General features: G+C 50.2%; 1 protein-coding gene across 17 annotated transcripts in view, besides 6 other annotated features; it reads right to left on the reverse strand.

Moving 5' to 3' along the window:
• Positions 1,660-17,867, reverse strand: part of CCND3 (cyclin D3) — a 115,103-nt gene continuing 98,895 nt past the window's right edge. For 3 of the 17 annotated variants that reach the window (NM_001424057.1, NM_001136126.3, NM_001287434.2), the window contains 3 exons: positions 3,962-4,121; positions 3,286-3,422; positions 1,679-2,834 (listed from right to left, as the gene is read on the reverse strand). In NM_001424057.1, the coding sequence (NP_001410986.1) occupies positions 2,667-2,834; positions 3,286-3,408 (291 nt within the window). In that variant the 5' untranslated portion in view covers positions 3,409-3,422; positions 3,962-4,121 and the 3' untranslated portion in view covers positions 1,679-2,666. Of the gene's footprint in view, positions 2,835-3,285; positions 3,423-3,961; positions 4,122-4,892; positions 5,933-7,096; positions 7,313-7,678; positions 8,536-17,867 lie in introns of those variants that run through there. The other 14 variants (NM_001424053.1, NM_001424055.1, NM_001424052.1 and 11 more) reach the window with 13 other exon arrangements.
• Positions 5,006-5,821: an enhancer, noted in NCBI's record as "H3K27ac-H3K4me1 hESC enhancer chr6:41906017-41906832 (GRCh37/hg19 assembly coordinates)". NCBI's record gives its function as "activates a minimal SCP1, AML or CMV promoter by ChIP-STARR-seq in naive and primed H9 embryonic stem cells {active_cell/tissue: H9 hESC(naive and primed)}" and the evidence as "EXISTENCE:reporter gene assay evidence [ECO:0000049][PMID:30033119]".
• Positions 5,822-6,637: an enhancer, noted in NCBI's record as "H3K27ac-H3K4me1 hESC enhancer chr6:41906833-41907648 (GRCh37/hg19 assembly coordinates)". NCBI's record gives its function as "activates a minimal SCP1, AML or CMV promoter by ChIP-STARR-seq in primed H9 embryonic stem cells {active_cell/tissue: H9 hESC(primed)}" and the evidence as "EXISTENCE:reporter gene assay evidence [ECO:0000049][PMID:30033119]".
• Positions 6,218-6,512: an enhancer, noted in NCBI's record as "tiled region #4595; K562 Activating DNase matched - State 5:Enh". NCBI's record gives its function as "activates a minimal TATA promoter and a strong SV40 promoter by Sharpr-MPRA in K562 cells {active_cell/tissue: K562}" and the evidence as "EXISTENCE:reporter gene assay evidence [ECO:0000049][PMID:27701403]".
• Positions 7,594-7,723: an enhancer, noted in NCBI's record as "active region_24531". NCBI's record gives its function as "activates an Ori minimal core promoter by ATAC-STARR-seq in GM12878 lymphoblastoid cells {active_cell/tissue: GM12878}" and the evidence as "EXISTENCE:reporter gene assay evidence [ECO:0000049][PMID:35858748]".
• Positions 7,766-8,717: an enhancer, noted in NCBI's record as "H3K27ac-H3K4me1 hESC enhancer chr6:41908777-41909728 (GRCh37/hg19 assembly coordinates)". NCBI's record gives its function as "activates a minimal SCP1, AML or CMV promoter by ChIP-STARR-seq in naive H9 embryonic stem cells {active_cell/tissue: H9 hESC(naive)}" and the evidence as "EXISTENCE:reporter gene assay evidence [ECO:0000049][PMID:30033119]".
• Positions 8,234-8,683: a silencer, noted in NCBI's record as "silent region_17196". NCBI's record gives its function as "represses an Ori minimal core promoter by ATAC-STARR-seq in GM12878 lymphoblastoid cells {active_cell/tissue: GM12878}" and the evidence as "EXISTENCE:reporter gene assay evidence [ECO:0000049][PMID:35858748]".

Here is a 17,867-nt window from a genome sequence, read left to right on the forward strand (position 1 = left end):
CAGTGGATGAAAGGACTACAAGAGAAAACTCCTTGGGGAAAGCAGAGATAAGAGTCAAGAAAGGCCAGAGAGGCTGGGCTTGGTGGCTCACGCCTGTAATCCCAGCACTTTGGGAGGCTGAGGTAGGTGGATTACCTGAGTTCAGGAGTTCGAGACCAGCCTGGCCAACATGGTGAAACCCCTTCTCTACTAAAAATACAAAAATTAGCTGGGTGTGGTGGCGTGTGCTTGTAATCCCAGCTACTTGGGAGGCTGAGGCAGGAGAATCGCTTCAACCTGGGAGGTGGAGGTTGCGGTGATCCAGGATTGGGGCCACTACACTCCAGCCTGGGCCACGGAGCAAGACTGTCTCAAAAAAAAAAAAAAAAGGCCAGAGAATAAGGCTGGGCCCAAGAATGGTTAGATCAGAGCTAGCATCAAACAGGCTCCCTTTCTGGCTTTTCAGCCAATGAAAGCTTTAGACTAGTGACTAGTAAACTAGGGCCAGGTGCCCCTTTTTTTGTTGATTTGTTTTTTGAGACGGAGTCTCGCTCTGTCGCCCAGGCTGGAGTACAGTGGCATGATCTCGGCTCGCTGCAACCTCCGCCTCCATGGTTCAAGAGATTCTCCTGCCTCAGCCTCCTGAGTAGCTGGGACTACAGGTGCGTGCCACCACGCCTGGCTAATTTTTGTATTTTTAGTAGAGACGGGGTGGAGAAGGGGTTTCACCAGGTTGGCCAGGCTGGTCTCAAACTCCTGACCTCAGGTGATCCACCCGCCTCGGCCTCCCAAAGTGCTGGGATTACAGGCATGAGCCACTGCACCCAGCCCAAGTGCCCATTTTTGTGTGGCCCATGAGCTAAGAATGATTTTTCCATTTTTAAATGGGGAAAAAATTAAAACAGTATTTTGTGATAGGTAGGAATTACATGAAATTCCAGTTTCAGCATCCATAAATAGTTTTGTTGGAACAGCCATGCTCACCCATTTACATGTTTTCTGTGGCTGGTTTTGTGCTACAACAGCAGAGTTTAAGTATAATCCTGCTATAACCCTTGTTATTTGCTTTCGAAATTGCGCATTTGTTCCAACCCATTTAATATATTTGGGAACAGTTTGATCATAACGCAGACTTCATGTTTGCTTGTGTGTGATTTCATCCTCGAGAAATAGTAGGTGAATATGGGAAACTGTATCTAGCTGAACCAAGCCTAAGTAGTACACAAAACTCACACCTAAACATGTACCAGCTACCTCACTCATCTCCCCACCTGTGTTGAGCAACCCTTCCGACGTCCACTTCCAAAAGCAAAGTGCATGTCTTCAAGATAAAAGGCCATATTTATTGTGATATAATTTCTCAACCATTTGACATATGTAAAAACCAAGCTATCCTTTTTTTTTAAATGTGTCACTCATTTGAGTGTTGTGCTTCAAGCCCCATTTTTCCCATGAGACCTGTGGTCTTTATTGTGCAATTTTGCATGGCATAGTGATTTTTAGGAACGCATAGGTCACATTATAAAGCAGAACTGACTATATTTGGGTCAGAGACCATGTACCCCACAAAGCCTAAATATCCAGCCCTTTACAGAAAAGGCTCAATGATCCCTGCTTTAGACCATTGACTTCCACCTCCTTACCTCATACAGTGCAGAAATAGACTTACCCACACACCAATCCAAGAAGCCAAAGCCAGTTTTATTTCACAATCATCTTTATTACAGTAGGATGATGGTCCTGGGCCACCAGCCTAAACCTTGCAGCCTTAGGAAAGACCTGTGTCAACAGGGCTTGCCTCCCTCTCTAGACAGGGGCTCAGCCACCTCCAGGGCATCCCTGCTGCATTTTCCCTGCTGGAGGATGGGGCAGAGGGACAATGGGAGAGGAGGGCATGACCCCACCCCAGGCTATAGCAGCTCCTTGGCCACAAAGATCCTTTTGCCAGTAGCAGAAGGGAGGAAAACAGCAACCACCAGGGTTACCACCACTTGTGGGATGGCCAGGACCCCATTATGTCCTCTTAAAGTTGTGCTCAAAGCAATTAATAAATTAAAATGAGCCTTCAGCAGCAAAGCTGTCAATCACACAGGAGAAGCTGAGCAGAAAGCAAAGCAAAGAGGAATTTATAGCTTCTCTGGCTGAGGCCTAGGCCCCTCCCTCTAGGAGCAGCTGTCAGCACGGACTACATAGGGGCCTCCAAAGTACTGAGAGGAGCCATCTAGACTATTCCCCCTCATATGTGTCTATCATGCATTAAATTTTAGAGGGACCCCAATCCAAATGCAATAACCCTAGAAGGGACAACACCTTTAGAAGGCACTAGAGCATTTTGGCAGTTGAAAACATGAGAGCCCCCAGGGGTGGGGGGGGGCGTTCAAAAGGAATGCTGGTGTATGTATCCAATTCTGTCCCATCAGCCTGGCCCACCCCCAGCTAGAGTTGGGAAAGGCGCTGCTGGTCAGATGCAGGGAGGAGGAGCTTGACTAGCCACCGAAATGCAGACATGGCTGGCCGGGCCCCTTAGTGCACACTGCGGGGATGGGTAGGACCAGATCCCTTGGGCTTTGTGAAGGGGGAACAGACGCCCCTTCAGGCTTAGATGTGGTGTGGTTCCTGGAGGCAGGGAGGTGGGTGGCAGCGGCCCCTCCTCTGCTTAGTGGCCACTCCAGAGGGCCTCTCCAGGGCTACAGGTGTATGGCTGTGACATCTGTAGGAGTGCTGGTCTGGCTGGGCCCTTGGCTGCTGGAGCCCCGGGGGGCTTTGGGCGCTGGGCTGGAGCTGGTCTGAGAGGCTTCCCTGAGGCTCTCCCTGAGTGCAGCTTCGATCTGCTCCTGACAGGCCCGCAGGCAGTCCTGGGAACATGGGAGAAGAGTGAGGAGCAAACACTCCCCCCATAGCATCTGGCAGCAGGTGCAGGGGAAGGACAGCTCCCAACACATGGGGAAGTCTGGGGAGGTTAGGCCACAGCCCGGCCCCAGGAATCGCTCTTTAGTTCTCAGAAACTAGCAAGAGGATGTGGCAAGGGAGTGTGAGAGCAGCCCTGCATCTGACACCAAACCCCCCACCCCCACTCCAGCACACCACTTGGCAAGAAAAGAACCCCTAGGGCCAGTGCCCTTCACCCCACCCAAGATACTTGCTCTTCCCCAGACCAAGGCAGGAGATAAAAAGCCACAAAGCCCCAAGGTTGTGAAACCAGGACTTGGGACCAGGTTGGGGTTGGAGGTTTCCCTCTACTGGAGGCTCAGGGCATAGCACTACTTTATGAATGGAGAGGCTGCTGCCCAGCTACCCAGCACTCACCACTTCAGTGCCAGTGATCCCTGCCAGCAGCTCTGTGAGCTCATCCCCGGACATGGAGCAGGCACCCAGGCCTTGCACTGCAGCCCCAATGCTGCCCGTGGCGATCATGGATGGCGGGTACATGGCAAAGGTATAATCTTGGAGAGGAGGAAAGGGAACCATGAGAGAAGGAAACCTGAAGGATAACGGCCAGCATGGACTTCCGACTCCTTGGAAAGTGCCAGGCAGCATGAGTAGAGCAGAGGACATGCTGGAAAACTCCAGCAGTGGGTGGGGCAAGATATCAGCAAGGGAGGAAGACAGGAAAGAGTATCTTTCCTAGAGATCAGAACCAACTGCCAGTTTCCATAGGTCCCGGGAATAGACAAGACACTCCCTAGTATGGGAACACAACTAGGGCCAAGAGACTGGGGTTCTGTTCCCAACCTGTTCACTGTGAGACCTTGGGCAAGTCACTTCTCTCTATACCCTCAGTGTCCCCACTACAAACTGGAGGGGTCTGAGATCCCATATAGCTGATTATAACCTGCTTTTCTGCATTGAGACTGGGGGCTCAGAGGGGGTATAATTTTCACAAAGGAATTTTGACAGTATAAACCAGAATCTTCAGTTACCTCTCACCCTTATAAGTCTTCTGATTTTTCCAATTTGGCAAAAATGTGCATAGGGCTCTTACCTGTAGCACAGAGGGCCAAAAAGGTCTGGGCATGCTTTTTGACCAAGGCCTGTCGGTCACGGGGCAGAGAGAGCCGGTGCAGAATGAAGGCCAGGAAATCATGTGCAATCACAGCAGCCAGGTCCCACTTGAGCTTCCCTAGGACCAGCACCTCCCAGTCCTGAAAAAGCGGGGAAAGGGTGGGGTCAGTGGCTGGAGAAGTGAAGAGGAGGGAGCAAAGCAGAAGTCTCAAAGTCTCAGGCAGGGAAGCCCATCAAACTTTTAAAGCCCAAGACCCCAGTTCTGTTTCTGATTTTAAGGCCGGGCACCATGGAGTTCAAGGCAGGGAAGAGGAGGAGGCATGTGCTTTGAGCACTTACTGATCATTTACTAGGTGCCAGGACAACATGCTTTACATGGATTATCCCTTTTAATCCTGTCTGGTTATGTTTAAGGGGCCAATAATCCAGGCCTTCTCCTGACTTCATTCAGGGCTCTGAGGATTTCTCCAGCCAGGGCTGAAAGACGGAAGCAGCAGATACCACAGCATCACCATGAACTGGGCTCTCTTCTGGGATGAAGCAGAAAGACTCTCTCAACCCCAAGGATTTGTGAAAGGGGAGATCACCACTAGCTTCCCCTGCAACTCTGCATCCCAGCCAAGTCCACACTTCTTGAATCAACAGAAGGGAGTATGACTCCTCCAATGACAGCCACAGAGCCTTTTCTCAGGTTCCTCAAAGGGGAGATTGCCCAACCCAAGCCACATCCCCTTGGTAGGATATCAGGGATGGGTCCTGAGGTATAGCACCCCACCCCACCCCCTTTAGCTGGAACCCGTAGTGCCCCATGCCACTTGACTTTCAGGAGGATAGGTAGAGGCCAAGCCAGACAGGATGGCTCCAAATGATTCCAGAGGGATCAAGCCCTATCCTCACCTACCCAAGCCTACCTGCCAGTACTAGGTCTCGGGAGAAGGCTGGGAGCTCCACCCCAGTCCACTCGTCATGGGTTCCCAGACCTGGCCCCATTTCTGAGTTGCACACATGAGGATTTCTTCATTGTTTTATCTCAGGAAGGAACTTGTGGGTTTGACTCCTTATTGAGGCAGAAATGGCAACCCCACCCAACCTCTTCCAGGCCCCAGCCACAGCTGTCTCTCTCTTGGCCCCAGCTTAGGTGTCAGCCTCTCAAATCAACCCCTACCCTCACAGAGCCCCAGAGAAAATAGCCTGGCCTGGAGCCAGAAGTGAGACAGATAAATTACAACGCTACCCCTAGTGCATGTCCCAGGAGCCAACTCCTAACTCAGCAGTAAACAGAAGGGACTCAGCTTCTAAGGAAGCATCTGGAAGGCAACTGGGAGTGGGACTCTCCCTATGGGGAGGCAAGGGGTTGTGTTTGAGGGAAAGTGGCCACCTTTCCCCATATCCAGGCAACCAGAGAATCCCAGTGTTAACTGGTGGAGAACACACCCCTGGGAGTGCTTAGCTTCAGTAGGTGGCAGCGGCCATCACATTCCTGACTTTTAAGGCAACCTGGTCTAGCTAGAAGACCCAGGTTCTACACTCATCTGCTCAGTGCGATGCTGAGGCAGGACCTTGCCCTCCTTCCTTGGGCCTCAGCCTCCTCTGCTGCACACGGATTTGGACCAACTGGAGTTCTCAGAGGTCCCTTCCAACCTTGACCTTCTAGGAAGTCTTTTGGGCACTCCACCCCCAGCTCAGGCAGAGGGAAGAGTACTTTTTGCCTGTACTGAAAAACCCTCATACGTGGGCACACAAACCACCTCCATCTTTTCACAAAAAGGAAGTTCCCCTTCTACCTTCCAGCCCCAACCCCTCCAAAAACATCTTGCTCTCTGGCCCTGGAAACTAGCTCCACCTTCAGACTTGCCAAAAACTACCAGATTCATCACAAAGAGCTGTGGCGCCTCCTGGATTCCCAACTCTGGCCTCCTACTCCCATCTCTGAGCTACTTGGCAGGAAGAGGAATCCTGTTCCTCGACTCACAGCAGTCGGGGGCCCCAGTACCCTGGCTTCCCTGCCAGCCAATCACAGCAGCCTGCTTGCTGCCCTCCTCCCTGGGAGATGGGGCCCAGAGACTCCTCTCAGGGTCAGCAGAAGACTTGGCCCGCCACAGAGCAAGGTGGAGGAAGGTGCCAGCTCACCCACCCTCTCCCCCAGCCTCCCTAGGAGACAATCTGCATGTCCTAAATAACCTCTTCCAGATCCAGCAGCTCCCCCGCCTCCTCCCCAGGCTCCTTCTGAGGCGGGACAGAACCGGTGACTTTCCTGCCCGGCCTGAGCCCAGCCCAAGTTTCCAGCAAGAGGCCCAGGGAGCCACTTCCCAAACCACAGGAGTGACAGCAGCTCCCCACAGGGTTATGAAAGACCTTGGTCAGAGAGGGCGGGCCAGGGGAGGGGGCACCATTATCACATCGGAAGCAGATGCAGCTCACCTCCCTGTCTGTCCCTCAGCTTGGGCCTTGGGCTAAGGGGGGAAGAGGGAGCTGTTTCCACCAGGCCCAAAGCAGCTGCTCCAGTTCCTCAGAATGAGGACGAGGAAGGATTAGGAAGAAGCTGTTTCTTCCGGGATATAAGAGGAAGCAAAGAAGGTGGGATGAAATACATCAGCCCTTCCTTAAAGCAATCAGGGCCTGGCTTTAATTGGCTCTGGGAGGCTTTTCTATCACAAAGTCCACATGAGGATAAAGACTCAACCAAGGCAAAACCCCCTCCCCCACATGAAGCACATTCCACTCCCCTACTCCAGTGGGGGTGTGCAGGCATGCCCTTCTGCTGCCAATAAATAACTCATGGTGGCTGCGTAAACCCAGAGGCAAAGTACTAGTGAGTGTAGACATGCAATTTGACTTGTTGCTATCTGGGGGAAAGACCAGGAAGGAGTGGCATCCCCTGGAGGTCAGGAGGAGGGGGTTTAATGCCTGCCTGCAGCTCAAGCCTGGGCGGGAGTGATACTAACCATCACACCACAATGCCCCATCGTTTGTTCCACCCCAATTCCTTTCCCAAAGGTCCTGATCCCCTTGCTTCCTCTCCAGGGGGCAGAAAGCCTCTGATATCTCAAGCTTTCCTTTTCCTGGAAAGTGGGGAGACAATACGTGTCGGGGGTGGGGGGAGTTACACACGCACCCGCAACTGGCGGGGAGAGACAGCGTGGTCGGTGTAGATGCACAGTTTTTCGATGGTCAGGGGCGTGGTCTCGCGCAGCTTGGAGGCCAGCAGCATGCAGACCGCACCCAGGAGCTGCAACTGCGCCTTTCGGGTGGGGACGCAAGACAGGTAGCGATCCAGGTAGTTCATGGCCAGGGGGAAGACTTCCTCCTCACAGCGCTGCTCCTCACATACCTGGGGGAGGGCGCACAGTCACTGCTGGGTCTGGAGCGTGGGGAACACAGCAGCGGGGGGGTGGGAGCGCTGAAGTGAGGTGGGATAGGGAGCAAAAACGGCAGAGAGGGTAAGCTACTTAGAGAGACAAGGACCAATAAAGGAGGAGGATGCGCCCTCCCCAAGGTGACGCCCCCCACTTCCTCTGCGCGGCCTCCTCCCCTCTCCCCTTGACGGGGGAGTGGTAAAGCCAAGGAGCCCTTGCTCACGGAGGATTCCAAACGGAGACTCCCCTCCCCCACAGCGAGGGGAAGTGGGACGCAAGGGTCACCCATGGTAGCCAGAGAGCTGGGACCTCACCCCCATCACCGCCACCACTGCACACACCCGAGGGGAAGGGAGGAGGCTCCTGCCGCTGCCTCCTGCACTTTTCATTTCCCTGTCGGCCGGAACAGGGCGCGCGCCACCCCCATCGCCTTCCCCGCCAGAACCCCGCGAAAGACACAGGAACCGGCTCCCGGGCGGGGGCGGCCGAGCCCAGGGTTTTCCAGGCGCGCTCTCCGGAGAAGGCCGGGAGGCGGAGGGAAGCGGGAGACGCTGTGAGAAGCCGAAGGGGAGAGAGTGTCCTTGGTCCCGTTTGCTCGGCCCGAAGAGAGGCACAGTTAGGGTGCCAAGTGACTGGCAGTCACTGTCGGGAGGAGCCGATTAGGGCTCGGGAAAGCAAGGGAGGCAGCTGGCGTGGGTGCCCTAGTGAAAGGCCAGGCCCCGGGAGTCTTAGCCTCGGAGCATCCTGCAGATTGCTGTGGGGACCGGGATGTCCCGACAGGGCGGCCCCGGTGTGTCCAGACCCGGGAGCGGTGGGGGAGGGGGACGCGTCCGGGCGGTACCTCCAGCATCCAGTAAGCCAGCATCTTCCGCATGTGCGGCTTGATCTCCCGCTGCACGCACTGGAAGTAGGAGGCGCGGGGTACGTAGCGCTCCTCCAGGCGGAGCAGGCTCTGCAGGACACGCTGGTCCCCCAGCAGCCGCGGGTCCGGCCCGGCCCGGGGCGCGTGCCGGGTGCCTTCGCAACACAGCAGCTCCATACTCGGGCAGCGAACAGGCAGGGCGGGAGTGCGGGCTCGCGAGTCCCAAGGCAGGCGACGGGCCGGAGAGCGCGGGGCGCGGGTCTGGCGCTGGCGCTGGCACTGCGCGGCGGATCCCCAGCCCGCCCGCCGCCCGCGCGCGCGCGCCGCTTCCCTGACAGGCGCCCCGCCCCTCGCGACGATGTAGCAACCGTGGAATGCTCGGACGTCGCAACGCTCCGAGGGGCGGGGCTGCGGCGCCCCGGACGGAAAGGGTTGGCTGAGCGCTCTCCCCTCCCTCCCGCGGCCCCATTGGGCCGCTGAGCGCAAGCCGGCCGGCTTCCGGGCACTCCAGGCCCTCTGGACCACCGGGTGCAGAGAACTTTCTAGGAGGTGGGCCTCCTACCCACCCACGGGCCCTCCCATTTTGCTTCTCGGACTCTAGTCACCCAGGAAACAATTTTTCTCCAAAGGTCATTCATTCACTTATTCATTCGTCAAACCCTACTTCACCGGCTGCTTGCTCTAAGGAATGCGATAAATAATGTCAGAGCTAGTTCTTAGTGAACGCTGCTCGAAAGCCTCACGATGTAATGACTCACTACATCTTCACGAAAACTCGGAAACCGAGGCAACTGTCATTCAGTTGGTCCGTGGCAGAGCTAGGATTGGGAAGCTGGCCTTCTTGCTGCAGATTCTGTGTTCTACACCATTGCTAGTTAAACTGTGATCCCAGACCTGTCCCGTGCGTGGTCATCGCCTGGGAGCTGGTTAGAAATGCAGACTCTCAGGCCCACCCCTAACCTGAATCAGAATCTGCATTTTAACTAGATTTCTGTGCACTTTAAAGTATGAGAGCTTTAGTCTAAGTCAGCATATAACAGAACGGAAAGGCCATGGAGTCATGGCCTCACCTTGTTAAGTTGCTTGCCTAGGTTTGGACAAGCCCCTAAAGTCGGCCTTAGTTTCTGTTTGGAGAAACTGTGGACGGAGAAACTAGATTCTCATTGAATCAGTTTCTTGCACAGACTCTGTGAGATCTACCGGTTGCATTTCTTCCACCTCCCAAACTTTTGGTTACTTTGTAGTTTTACCGGAAGCTAGATTCCACTTGACGAAGAGGCCGAAAAAGACCTCCAATAATGCTCCAAATGGGAGGAGGCCATGAGGATCCCTGCCCTACTGGGGTCCTCCTGACTTAGGAGACACTAAGGAAGTGTCTAACCATTTTCTGTTAATTATTCTTTTTTTTTTTTTTTTTTTTTTTTGAGACGAAGTCTCACTCTGTTGCTCAAGCTGGAGTGCAGTGGTGCGATCTGGGCTCACTGCAACCTCCACCTCCCGGGTTCAAGCAATTCCCGAGTAGCTGGGACTACAGGCACGCACCACCATGCCTGACTAATTTTTGTATTTTTCGTAGAGATGGGGTTTCACTATGTTGGCCAGGCTAGTCTTGAACCCCTGACCTCGTGATCCGCCGGTCTCGGCCTCCAAAAGTGCTGGGATTACAGGCGTGAGCCACCGTTCCCGGCCGAATTATTCTTTCTTATATTATAAATTGTATTGTAGTTTTCATATCATAAAATATTCTTTTACATTGTAGAAAACTTCAAAAATACAAATAAGCCACAAAAAAAGGAAATAATCATTTGCAATTTGCCATGAAATAACCCTTTAATATATCAATGTTTATTTTTCTAATCTTTGTTCTATGAATAAACACACATTTTAAATGGAATCATCACAAACTGTTTTGTAAGCTTTTTTCATTAAAAAAATACTGTTAACACTTTTCCATGCTATTAAATATTCTAGGACATAATTTGTAATAGGGACATAATATACCATTAGGTGAATGTACAAAATGTATTTTGGCAAACCTGTATTGGTGGAAATTTAAATTATTTCTAGTTCTTCTCTATTAGACATAATACTGTAAAATATTTTTGTGGTAATATCTTTGTGCACACTCATGATTATTTCTAGAAGTGAATTAATTTCTAGAAGTGGAATTTCCCAATCTAAGGTTATGAAACATTCTAAGGCTTTTGATACACTTCTAATTGCCAAATTTTCCTGCTGAATAGTTAAACCAATCTTTTCCACCATCATTACATATCTATTTTTCAAAACAACTCTGCCAACTAGAGAGTGAAAGTGGCTTATTAGTAATAATAAATCTATTTTGGCATATTACTAGACATTTACATTTCTTATGTACATTACCCATTCATGTCCTTAGCTTATTCATTTATAGGGATGTTTGTTTTCTCTTATTGACTTATAAGTTCTCATCACCTCTCAAAGATATTAACCCTTTTCATATTTTTTGTTTGGTTTTTTAACTTTGGTTATAAAAATTCTTGACATAAATTAATTTTTAAAATCAGTATTTTTAAAACTTCTCATTTATAGTAACATGGCACTATGTATAAAAATGTCCCATCAGCCCAGCACTTTGGGAGGCTGAGGCAGGAGGATCACTGGAAGCTAGGAGTTGAAGACCAGCCTGGACAACAAAGCAAGACTCCTATCTCTACAAAAAATAAAAAAAAAAAATAAGCTGGGTGCGGTGGCACAAGCCTGTAGTCCCAGCTACTAGGGAGACCGAAGCAGGAGGATCGCTTGAGCCCAGGAGTTCAAGGCTGCAGTGAACCATAACGGCACATGACCTTCCTTAACATTTTGTTATCATACATTTTGCAAAAACAAAATTTTAGTTCATTGTTTTTACTAATTTTTGGTTCACGGTGGATTTTTTTTTTTTTAACAAATAGAAGGGTTTTTTGTGTTTTTCTTTGTTTTTTGGTTTTCTTTGTTTTTTTGACACAAAGTTTTGCTCTTGTCACCAGGCTGGAGTGCAGCTTACTGCAACCTCTGCCTCCTGGTTTCAAGTGATTCTCCTGCCTCAGCTTCCTGAGTAGCTGGGATTACGGGTGCATACCACCATGCCCGGCTAATTTTTGTATTTTCAGTAGATACGGGATTTCACCATGTTGGCCAGGCTGGTCTCGAACTCCTGACCTCAAGTGATCTGCCTGCCTCAGCTTCCTAAAGTGCTGGGATTACAGGCACAAACCACCGCACCTGGCAAATTAGTTGCTGATTTATTAATTGAGGGAGGGCCACATAGACTGACTAGTCCTGAAAGCTGGATGTGAACCTGTAGTATGGGGACGGGAGCTCCTGGTGAGCAGGACTTTAGGAGAGATACTTCTGCCTCACCCCTGGATGGAATAGCCATGCCTAGAGCTAGATCATCCCTGACTTTCAGGGCCAAGGACTGGCCACTGGGGAGGCAGGTGAGCTCAATGCAGGACCAGCACAAGTTCACCAGTTACCTCCACCTCAAAGAAATAGAGGCTCCTCTTGTTTTTCTTGTTTTTGTTTTTGTTTTTCTAAAAGGAAAACTAAAGACAAAGCAATGACCAGGGCCAATAGTATGAGGAGTTTCTACCCAGGTACATCCAGTTAGAAAAAGTCAATAAAATGGCAAATTGGAGGAGGGGTGGGAATGGAATGTCACAGGCCAAATAAGAAACCCCAAGGAGGAAAGATACATTTTCTTTCTCTTCCTCTTCATCATCAAAATACCCCCATCTGGGCCAGGCACGGTGGCTCACGCCTGTAATCCCAGCACTTTGGGATGCCAAGACGGGTGGATCACCTGAAGTCAGGAGTTCGAGACCAGCCTGGCCAACATGGTAAAACCTTGTCTCTACTAAAAATACAAAAAATTAGCCAGGTGTGGTGGTGGATGCCTGTAATCCCAGCTACTCCGGAGGCTGAGCAGGAGAATCACTTGAACCCTGGAGCCAGAGGCTGCAGTGAGCCGAGATCGTGCCATTGCACTCTAGCCAGGGCAACAAGAGCGAAACTCTGTCTCCAAAAAAAAAAGTCCGCATCTGAGAAGTGAGAGGCTGAACAAGGTGATGGGTGAGGCCCATCACCCCACAGTCCACATGCCATGGCTTAGTTACCTTCAGACCCATTGAGATGCTGGGGAGAGCCAAGCGAGCCATGGGGCTGAGAACAGGGGTGCTAAACAGGGTTCTGGAGTCAGAGACTGCTTTCAGTTCAAACCTGGCTCCACAGCTTATGACTTTGAGAGAATTACTGGAACCTCTCTGCTTCCTCTTTTATCCAGTGGGGATAATATAATAGCCCTATAATGATGTTCTGAAAATTAAACAAGCAGAAAATGTCTTACCTGTGCCTGGCACAAAGCAAGCATTCAGAGATAGTAGTTTCTGAAATGATTATTATTATTCCCTTTCTCAAGGAGTACCCTTTCTGTTATGAACATGCATCCATAACCCCTCTAAGAAAAGCAAAAGTTTGAGCAGCAAGAGCCCTACTCCTAGAATTGCATCTCTAGCAAATCCTGAAGACCTGGCTTCTAACGGTAAACGCATGGTCTAGCGTATGGAGAGGACCCTCCAGGGCCTGGAGCCACACCCCTCTGCCACTCCACTCCCTCACTGTGTGAATTTGGCTAAGTTAAACCACCTCTCTGTGCCTCAGTTTCCTTTTCTAAAAATGGTGATAACAGTAGTACCCCCCCACAGAGTGGTTGTGAGGAGGAAATGGGTTGATTTGTTTAAAATACATAGAAGAGTGGCTGGCACGTGGTGAACCCTTTTTTAAAAAGTTAGTTGTGATTGCGGGACTTAAAAGCACAAAGTTGGCCGGGCACGGTGGCTCACACCTGTAATCCTAGCACGTTGGGAGGCAGGGGCAGGCAGATCACTTGAGGCCAGGAGTTTGAGACCGCCTGGCCAACACAGTAAAACCCCATCTCTACCAAAAAAAAAATATAAAAATTAGCCGAACGCAGTGGCGCACGCCTGTAGTCCCAGCTACTCAGGAGGCTGAGGCAGGAGAATTGTTTGAGCCTGGGAGATGGAGATTGCAGTGAGCCCAGATCGCACTACTGCACTCCACCCTGGGCAACAGAGACCTGTCTCAAAAAAAAAAAAAAAAAAAAAAAAAAAAAGCAGTAAACCAAACTACATATAATTTAGCTTTTTTCTTTGAGAATCAAGGAGCTATCTCGGTGCTTACAGTATTCCAGGTCACTATTATGAGCATCTGTAATATTTGTACAATATTTCACATTAATCTTTAAAACTCTTTGCTTGTCCATTCCTATCAGTAAAAATTGAGCACTCTTCGGCTGGGCGCGGTGGCTCACACCTGTAATCCCAGCACTTTGGGAGGCCGAGGTGGGCGGATCACCTGAAGTCAGGAGTTCAAGACCAGCCTGGCCAACATGGCAAAACCCCATCTTTACTAAAAATACAAAAATTGGCTGGGTGCAGTGGCTCACACCTGTAATCCCAGCACTTTGGGAGGCCGAGGCGGGCAGATCACGAGGTCAGGAGATCGAGACCAGCCTAACCAACATGGTGAAACCCCATCTCTACTAAAAATACAAAAAAAATTAGCTGGGCATGGTGGCGCATGCCTGTAATCCCAGCTACTCAGGAGGCTGAGGAAGGAGAATCGCTTGAACCCACCAGGTAGAGGTTGCAGTGAGCTGAGATCGCGCCACTGCACTCCAGCCTGGGCAACAGAGCAAGACTCCGTCTCAAAAAAAAAAAAAGAAAAGAAAAGAAACAGCCTGGATGGGCATTTAAAATCCCAACACAGCACTTTAGGCAGCACTACCAAATCAGAGTTGGTGTGAACTGACCTGTTTTTAGTTTCCATTTTATACTGGAGGCTGCCTTCTTGGCAACACCACAAGGATGTCCGATAGGCCAGTTAAACTCAATTTCTCCAAAACTGATATCCTAATCTTTCCCCAAAAAACCCGCTCTTCCTACAGGCTTATCTCAGAAAATGGCAACTCCATCCTTCCAATGGCTCAGGCCAAACACTTGGTGTCATTCCTGACTCCTCTTTCTCAAATCCCACACAATCCCCACACTCTGATCAGCAGATCACAGAGGAGCTATTAATAATTTCAAAATATTTCCAAAATCTACTCTTTTTTTCCTCCTCTGTTACTTCCTCTGTCCAAACTCAGTTCTTCCTTGACCTTACTGGTCCCCCACATCCAACCTGCGACCCACTTCTGGTTGATTCTACGTCAAAAATACATCTCCAATCCCCTTCTTTTCTCGATTTCCACTTCTACCCCCCGGTCCGAGTTGCATCATCTCTTACCTGGATTACAGTGGTAGCCTCCTGCCGGGTCTCCCTGACCCACCCTTGGCCCTCCAGTCTAGTCTCAACCCATCACTCTCAGAGGCTCCCCATTTCATTTGGAGTGACTGCCAAAGACCCTGCAGCATCTATACTCCCACCCCATTTCCCACTACTCTCCCTCACTGTGCTCTGGCCACACGGTTCATGGAACACACCGGGCAGACATGTTCTCTTTGCACGTGCTGTTCCATCTGCCTGGAATGTTCTGCCTCCGGATATCCACATGGCCCACTCCCTCACTTCCTTCAGGAAGTCCAAAAGTTGCATTCCTCTTACAGCCTTTCCTGGCCATCCTACCTAAATTTTTAATGCCAGCTCCCCAGCCCTGACACTTCTTATGCTCTTTCCCTGCTTTATTTTTCTGCTTACCACTGATCACTAGTATAGCATATACTTTGCTTGCATATTCTGTTTACAGCTTGTCTACTCCCACACCACACCACCAAAACAGGATGGTATCCAGTTCATAGTAGATGTTCAGTAAGTTTTTTGTTTTTTTTTGTTTTTTTTTTTGAGACAGGGTCTCACTCTGTCACCCAGGCTGGAAGCAGTGGCATGATAACGACTCACTGCAGCCTCTATCTCCCAGGCTCAAGTGGTCTTCCCACCTCAGCTTCCCAAGTAGCTGGGACTATAGGCGTGCACTACCACGTCTGGCTCAATAAATCTTTTTTGAGTTAATGAATAAAACAAACTGGATATAAGAAAAACACCAGGCTGGGCGCGGTGGCTCACGCCTGTAATCCCAGCACTTTGGGAGGCCGAGGCAGGCAGATCACTAGGTCAGGAGTTCAAGACCAGCCTGGCCAACATGGTGAAACCCCGTCTCTAGTAAAAAATACAAAAAAATTAGCTGGGCATGGTGGCGCGTGCCTGTAATCCCAGCTACTCAGTAGGCTAAGGCAAGAGAATTGCTTGAACCGGGACCCGGGAAGCGGAGGTTGCAGTGAGCTGAGATCGTGCCACTGCACTCCAGCCTGGACTACAGAACGAGACTCCATCTCAAAAAAAAAAAAAAGAAAAAAAGAAAAAAGAAAAACACCAGCATACACCACATGATAAATGGCAACTCACATGGGGTTAAGGGAGCTGTTGGGGCCAGACACAGTAGATAGCACATGTCCCATCCAAAGCTCAAAAAGTACTGCTTAGCTTCAGACTTTTGCTACACCATAGTAATGAGTGTGGCCATAGATTCCCTGTTTCCCCAAGATAATATTTCTTAGATCGGGCATGATGGCTCACGCCTGCAATCCCTGCACTTTGAGAGGCTAAGTTGGGAGGATCACTGAGGCCAGGGGTTCAAGACCAGCCTAGGCAGCACAGCAAGACCCCATTACTACAAAAGAAAAGAAAAAGGCTGGGTGTGGTGGCTCATGCCTGTAATCGCAGCACTTTGGGAGGCTGAGGTGAGTGGATCACTTGAGGCCAGTCGTTCAAGACCAGCGAGGCCAGGCGTTCAAGACCAGCCTGGCCAACATAGTGGAACCCCATCTCTACTGAAAATACAAAAATTAGCTAGGCATGGTGACGCACGCCTGTAATCCCAGCTACTCAAGAGGCTGAGGTAGAAGAATCGCTTTAACCCAGGAGGCAGAGGTTGCAGTGAGCCGAGATCGTGCCACTGCACTCCAGCCCGGGGGACAGAATGAAACTGTGTCTCAAAAGAAAAGAAATTTCCGCCAGGCGCAGTGGCTCACACCTGTAATCCCAGCACTTTGGGAGGCGGCGACAGAGCGAGACTCCGTCTCAAAACAAAAAAAAAAGAAATTTCCTAAAATATCTATATTACTTGAGTTGAAAAACAGTAACAAAACCGTGCAAGCCACACATAATATGCCTATATACCAGGTCTGAGGGACAAAAAGCAGTTTGCAATTTCTAGCTTATAAGCTGCTTGGGAAAAGAAACCTCAGGTACTAGCCTGAAACTGTCAAGTCTCTCCTCATAAAATAAGAATACAACCTACAGGGCCGGGTGTGGTGGCTCAAGCCTGTAATCCCAGCACTTTGGGAGGCCGAGGCGGGCGGATCACAAGGTCAGGAGGTTGAGACCATCCTGGCTAACACGATGAAACCCTGTCTTTACTAAAAATATCAAAAAAAAAAAAAAATAGCCAGGTGTGGTGGCGGGTGCCTGTAGTCCCAGCTACTCGGGAGGCTGAGGTAGGAGAATGGCGTGAACCCGGGAAGCTTGCAGTGAGCCAAGATCACGCCACTGCACTCCAGCCTGGACAACAGAGCAAGATTAAAAAAAAAAAAAAAAGAATACAACCTATATATTTAAGCATTTGCTTTTTCTTCCTTTTTCTGGCTGTCTGGGTTCTGAATAAATGAGGCTTTCCTGTTCTGTCATTCTGCTTGAGATTCCTGTTCCACAGGTAAGACTGAGGTGCACACAGGGCCTCAGGTGTGGAAGGGTAACCTGCTACAGCAATATACCTGCAAAAAGAGAGCTGTCTTCGGTTCTTGGCTGGCAAGCATTCCTCATTCTAGGCAGGAGATAGCACTGGCATTAGTTTGGCTTAGTCATTAAGTAAGTGAGCTCTGGATTTAGGTTGATGCCCAGCTCTGCTATTTGCCAGCTGTGTGATTGTGTGATCCTGGGCAGTTTACTTAACTTTTCCGTCCCAGCCTTCTCATTTGCAAAAGGAGGATGGTAACAACTCCTATTTCATATGGTGAATGAGGGGATTAATAAGGGAAAAGTACTTTAGCTGTCCCAGGCTCATAGTAGGTGGTCAATAAAGATAGCTGTGGTCATTAACAATCAGGTGCCTTATCATGTGCCTTCCATACATCAGGCAGGCCTTCGGAAGCCCTGGGACATGCTGGACATGGGTCAGAGATGAGAAGACTCCCTTTTTTTTTTCTTTTTTTTTTTTTGAGATGGAGTCTCTCTCTGTCACCCAGGCTGGAGTGCAGTGGCGCGATCTCAGCTCACGGCAAGCTCCGCCTCCCAGGTTCACGCCATTCTCCTGCCACAGCCTCCCGAGTAGCTGGGACTACAGGCGCCCCCCACCACGCCCAGCTAATTTTTTGTATTTTTAGTAGAGTTGGGGTTTCACCGTGTTAGCCAGGATGGTCTTGATCTCCTGACCTCGTGATCCGCCCGCCTCGGCCTCCCAAAGTGCTGGGATTACAGGCGTGAGCCACTGCGCTGGGCCGAGAAGCCACCCTTTTAAGCTTCCAGTCTAAAGTGCATGATATGATGATCCTCCATGATGCAGGAATCCTAAGATGTCATGAAGACAGAAGACTTTTACCTCGGCATTTGCAACACCCATCAGAAGTAGGCAG

This window comes from Homo sapiens, chromosome 6 (assembly GCF_000001405.40).
Source record: "Homo sapiens chromosome 6, GRCh38.p14 Primary Assembly".
Lineage (NCBI taxonomy): Eukaryota > Metazoa > Chordata > Mammalia > Primates > Hominidae > Homo > Homo sapiens.